A 6,392-nucleotide genomic window follows, 5' to 3' on the forward strand; every position below is an offset into this window, starting at 1 on the left:
GGTAAACAGGCTGCTCTGGCCACATGAGTGCTCAGGAATGACTAAACACTTCATTTCTGCAGCCACTGAATTTGTTTTTTTAAAGTCATCTCCAATGGCAAATAAACATATAGTGACCTTAATCTTTCATTTTTATGACCCACTGGTATATAATAAACAGTAACCATAAGGTAGGCTCAATGGTTAGTAATAGATAGCGTAACAGCATTCATTCAAAAGGTTGGCACTGAGAGACTCAAGCTGTGGAAAACAGAACTGAACTCTGTGAGTGCCTATTGGTTAGCACAAGTGAGGTTTCAGTAGAGACATTTGCTCTCAACCTCTCAAAACATTAATCTCTTTGCTTTTTAGGTCTTCTTTTGGTTACCATGAGTAAAATCAGAAGCAAATGTGTGGAGTAAAATAAAAATTAGGAACTCTAATTTCTTAAGAGTAACTCCTGCATTGTGATTTGATAGGGTCAGGAGCTAGAAGGAAGGATTCAATTTTCAGCAGCTCTGAAAGCTTTGCAGCCCGCCATGTGTTTCAGCTTGGCCTTGATCGCAGCCGTCCCTGTTTGCTATGTGGCAGACAGCTGTTCTCTCCCGGCTCTCCGGGGTCATTCCTCCACCTCACACACCAATCCGTGTGTGAAATGAGGCACTAGCAGGAACTGCAGCCCAACATGAGCAGTAGTCTTTGGCTGGAAGGCTCAATATGAGACCAGGACTGATCATCAAAGTGTCTCCCCAAGGGACAGATAAAAAAGACAGGCAGAAAACAAAATTTCCTACTATATAAGACTACCAAGAAATAAAGCTTACAATATGCCACAAAAAATCTACTTCTACTTTCTATCATATCTGGTTCTATTTTCAGCTGTTACAGCTTTCCTGTCACCTGCTGGCTCTTTCTGAAATAAAGATACCAGGAGACTGAACCACTGTGTGGCTTATGATTGAGAGCTCCCTGCTAGAGCACACAAATCACACCTGGCTGTGAGATGCCATTGCATCTAGCACATGACTGCTGTTTGTAAAATGTCCAGTCCTCATTATCAGGCTCAGCAGTCTCACCACCAGACTTTTAATTAATATTTTAAGCATCTGTGAGGGTGTGCATGCCCATGTGCATGTTTATAATACAGCGTCCAGTTTGCTTTCATTTTATATTTTCTGTTTCTGGAAAATGATGATTAAAATGAGGTAGAAAGGACTGTAAAGCCCAAAATACAGAAACTCACCTTTTTCCTTAGAATGACTTATTTTATCATTTTGAATGATCTAGAGCCTAGTTAGCCATCTCTCAGAAACTGAATAGGGAATGACTACTGCAACTGGGAGGTTGGACTGGTGACCTTCCCTGTTCCTCCCAAATTAGCAATTCTATGATTGTCATGTGCTGGGCAAATTGCTATGAAAACATTTTTCCAAGAAAATTATCAGGCTCAAAAGCAGCTGATTCATACTGATAACTGCTAATACAATTGGTAAATTTTCTGTTTAGACAGGAAAAGAAGGATAGAGAAGAACAATTCCACAGGACTTGAAAGTAGAGAAATCTATTCAGGCAGTGACTGAATCTGTATCATAGTTTCACATGTTCAAAGCTGTGTTTACATGGTTGAGTTGCAGTTTTCATTATAGGTCCCATTTTCAGAACTTTGTAATTCATGCCTAACTTGACATTACTGACTCTAACCCAGGAAGAAATGTTTTTATGAAACACTGTGAAATTTATTTTATTAATTTGCTTTAGAGATGAGAAAACTAATACAAAAGCAAAAAGCATAAAGATCATTTTACATTTCAAGAAGCCTCTGTAACATGTCTAGTTTCACTAACATACAGGTGACACTTAAGTCACATTTTCAATTAAGAAAGGAAAGGGGTACATAATCACAGCATTGGCCACCCAAGGGGAGTGCAGAACAAGTCCTGCTGTAAGGACCCCCTAACCCAAAGCATTCTTATGCTGGTGAAACCTATGAAAGTAAAAAATCTAGGGCAACTTTAAAGAGTGAAGAAAGTTTTGGTTTTTGTTTTTTGTTTTGGTTTTGGGGTTTTTTTAATGCAACTAACCAGTCACAGAAGTAAGGGAGAAGAGGGGAACACTTGCTAACTGCTAGTCCCAAACCTGGAGCAAAGCAAATTTAAAAGGTAACTAACTGTATGGACTGTTTATAACAGTCTTGAATGATTTTTAGCACCAGCTGATAGGATCAGCTTCCTCACCCTATAATGATGCTTCTGACTATCTACTCATAGCACAGGTCTTGGACAATTACCCAGTTGAAAATTATTGCTAAAATAGACCATTGAGCATTGACACCACATCAGAGACTTTAAAATACATTTTCTGTCATCTAGAAGGGTAAGTGCTTACAGCAGCAGAGAGAATTAAATAATTGATATTATTACTCCTATTACGCAGATAAGGAACCTGAAGTTCAGAATGGTTGCTTAAGGTGCCCAAGCCATACTGCAAATATTGACTGATATGGAATTTGAAACTCCATTTGACTGACTCTAAAGCACTTGTGCTTCCCACTACACCAGAAGACCTTTCAGCCACATCTTCCTGTTAAAGAGAGAGCTCTGCTCTCCCTTGTTTTGTCACAACTGAGAGGAATGGATCTGCATTCCTTTGAAGTGCATTGCTCTTAAATTAATATAATGAGTGGAGACTCCTTTTCTTCTAATTAAAAACAATAACTAAAATATAAGAATCTAAACATCAGAAATGAAGGTATTAAAACAGTTGTTCATTGAGATATGGAGGGCTTTCTATTGGCAGAATGTTTTGAGGTACAGAAGAGCTGCTTAATTTTTAGTATCATTTGTTAGGTAGTAGCCCTTAAAGTAAAAACTTTCCAGGTAAATCTTCATTTGATAATGAGATTAATCAACTACATTGAAAATTGCATTATCACCAAATCACAAATAGGAATCTAGATGACAGCTTCAGTGGGTAGCATAGTTTTGATGACTTGGGGCAGGATTGAAAGAGCACACTGGGCAAGGGATCAGGATATCAGGAGGATGTGGGATCTACTCTTGACTTTCTGTGGACTACCACAGTCAAATTTCCTAAGTTCAGTACATCTAAAGTTTTTGTTCTGTACAATGCACTAAATAATCTCTAGTTCCACCTAGCTATAAATATCTATGATATATTCAACGTATCCACATGCTGTATAGAAGTTTTGGTTACAGACCACCTTTGAATAGTATTGTTTTTTAAAAAAGGATGATTTGAAAAATTCATCACTGACACTTTGATTATATCCACAATCCAATGATACTGTATTGTCTAGCTTAAATCAATGAACATTCTCTTTTATGTTTTAGTCTACTCAGAGCTAGACATAATATAAGGTATACTTACAGTTCCACATGGCTGGGGAGGCCTTACAATCATGGCGGAAGGCAAGGATGGGCAAGTCACATCTTACATATATGGCAGCAGGCAAAAAAATAGAATGAGAACCAAGCAAAAGGGGTTTCTCCGTATAAAACCATCAGATCTTGTGAGACTTATTCACTACCACAAGAACAGTATGAGAGAACACCTCCCATGATTTGATTATCTCCCATTGGGTCCCTCCCACAACATGAGGGAATTATGGGAGTTACAATTCAAGATGAGATTTGGGTGGGGGCACAGCCAAACCATATCATTCTGTCCCTGGCCCCTCCCAGATCTCATGTCCTCACATTGCAAAACCAATCATGCCTTCCCAACAGTCTCCCAAGGTCTTAACTTATTTCAGCATTAACTCAAATGTCCACCGTCCAACGTCTCATCTAAGACAAGCAAGTCCCTTCTGCCTATGAGCCTGTAAAATCAAAAGCAAGTTCGTTTCTTCCTAGATACAAGTGGGGTACAGGCAGGAAGACTGCTTGAGGCTGGGAGTTCAAGACCAGCCTGAACAGCACAGTGAGATCCTGTCTCTTAAAATAAAGTAAAATAAAATAACATTCTCTGAAATGGTTCAGGAAAAAATACACATGAATATATATTTGTATATATGGAGTTATTTGTATCCATATATGTGTGTGTAGATGTATATATACATTTACAGAGAGAGCTAATTATAAAAACAAATGAAGCAAAACATAAGTTGTTGGTAAATCTGGGCGATAGGCATATTAGAGTTCCTTGACTATTCTTGCAGCTTTTTATGAAGTTTGAAATTAATTTAAAATAAAATTATCAAAAAACGTTGAATCAGAACAAACTTTTTATAAACCACTCTATTAAATACGTTATGGGTAAATATCTATTGTCCTATATGCCCAACCAATTCACCGTCCCAATATATCCTATCTTCTGTGAATAATATCCTCCTGTGTGTGTTTTTTTGTTTTTGTTTTTGTTTATTTTTTTGAGACGGAGTCTCGCTCTGTCGCCCGGGCTGAAGTGCAGTGGCACGATCTTGGCTTACTGCAAGCTCCGCCTGCCGGGTTCACGCCATTCTCCTGCCTCAGCCTCCCGAGTAGCTGGGACTACAGGCGCCTGCCAACACGCCCGGCTAATTTTTTGTGTTTTTAGTAGAGACGGGGCTTCACCCTGTTAGCCAGGATGGTCTCGATCTCCTGACCCCGTGATCCGCCCGCCTCGGCCTCCCAAAGTGCTGGGATTACATGCGTGAGCCACCGCGCCCGGCCCCTCCTGTGTTTTTAACCTGCTCCTTTTCTTTCTCCCTTTATCTCTGACTCAGAATATTTTATTCCGTGTTCTAGCCATGTGAATGCCATGTCCTTACAAGACATGGCTACAGCTGCTTGGGCTGTGGGTAAACACTCGACCTAAGATGAGCCAATCTAACAATTTCTCCACGATTTTACACTGGGTCACAAAGGAAACCCAAACCTGTTATTCTTTGGTGGTTGTCCTTGTCTGGATTATCTCAAAATCTCACTCTGAAACAAGGATTTGGATTCCATCAGTTTATTTGGGAGCTGATCCCAGGAAGCATGGTAAGAGAGTGTGGAAGTGAGAAAGGGAAAGGAGAAAGCAATAAGAAAAGATGTTCAGTCCTGCTGGGCACCCTCTAAGAGGCCTATAGAACAAAACTCACAATGCACTCCCTGCAGTATAAGGAAACGTATTTATGCACACATTCCCATCATCTGTGGCTGAGGGTTACTCCTGGGCCTATTAACCACCTGGCACTTTTGTCCTACCATCCCAGCCCATTTCCCCCAGCCCCTAGCCAGAGAACGTCCTCAGGCAGAAAGATGTAGGTGCTTGAGGTAGAAGGCCTGGGACCCATAGATGAACAATTCTCCAACAACAAGTGACCTCAGAGATGGGCCGAGGGCACATGTTTAGGGCAGCAGCAGTGTCTGGTACAGTGGTTAACAGTGGAGGACTCAGGCAGTTGTCAGTGGGCCATGCTTCCTGCCACATGGAGGAATCTGGTCTACAGTGACAGGGATGGAGTAAATTTGCAGAGAAAGAAACAGAGACAAAGGTGCTGACAGCAATTGAAGACCTGGTTCCAATTTTTCTTGAGGCCCAAGCCACAGCTTTGCCTGTTCAACCTTTTCTTGGATTCAGTGAGTAAATAAAATCACTTTCATATCTCAACAAATTTGAGTTGAGTTCCTGTCACATAACCAAAAGCCATGTATTAAACTTAAGATATTGTCATCGACATCCCTGTGATGAGATTCCAGTACTGTCACCCTAAAACCCCATCATATAAATATGATCAGAGTAGAGTAACAATTATAAAAACGTCACCTCTAATCTCTGTATTTTTCTCAGTAGCAAGGTTTTCTTTTACTTATTTTTAAGTTGGGACGATTTTTAAATTGCCTCAAATATGTTCTTTATTTATTCATGACTACATATATCTTTGTACAACCAAAACTAATCAGACTTGGTAAAACATTCTCCATCTATCTTGAGGATAATTTTGTGGAACAAGTATTAAATAGTGTCTGTTTTTAGAAAGGACTTGACATTTTTGAAAGAAATGTGTTTACTGGGTATAAATTTTACACTAACTGAAAAAATGTCTGGTGGTAAAAGAAATCTAAAAGGAAGTGAAATACAATTCAGCCTAGAAAAACAACTCAAATAATTTATTTTGGGGGCAGGAAACAAAAACATATTTATTTCCTGATCCTGAAAATACAGCCGTGTTTTGAGACCAAGGAAGATGGATGATTTTAATGTGCAGCTAAGTTGAAAAAAATGAAAAAGAAAAAATATCAAGATATATGCAACACACACGCTTACTTTATAGACAACCCATTAAGAAACAGTCCCCAGCACACATTTTTACATTTCTCATGAGATTTTGGAATTTGTGCTGCAAAAGCATATGTGGAATATGTGCAAGTTAAGACACAGTCGAATCAATAGTACAGGAATGCACGCCATGGGGTGACAGTCATCAC

At 39.5% G+C, this 6,392-nt stretch overlaps 2 annotated features.

Annotated features, from left to right (window-relative positions):
• Positions 4,030 to 4,530: an enhancer, noted in NCBI's record as "H3K4me1 hESC enhancer chr4:110314172-110314672 (GRCh37/hg19 assembly coordinates)". NCBI's record gives its function as "activates a minimal SCP1, AML or CMV promoter by ChIP-STARR-seq in primed H9 embryonic stem cells {active_cell/tissue: H9 hESC(primed)}" and the evidence as "EXISTENCE:reporter gene assay evidence [ECO:0000049][PMID:30033119]".
• Positions 4,531 to 5,031: an enhancer, noted in NCBI's record as "H3K4me1 hESC enhancer chr4:110314673-110315173 (GRCh37/hg19 assembly coordinates)". NCBI's record gives its function as "activates a minimal SCP1, AML or CMV promoter by ChIP-STARR-seq in primed H9 embryonic stem cells {active_cell/tissue: H9 hESC(primed)}" and the evidence as "EXISTENCE:reporter gene assay evidence [ECO:0000049][PMID:30033119]".

Source organism: Homo sapiens, chromosome 4, assembly GCF_000001405.40.
Source record: "Homo sapiens chromosome 4, GRCh38.p14 Primary Assembly".
In the NCBI taxonomy this organism is placed as follows: Eukaryota; Metazoa; Chordata; class Mammalia; order Primates; family Hominidae; genus Homo; species Homo sapiens.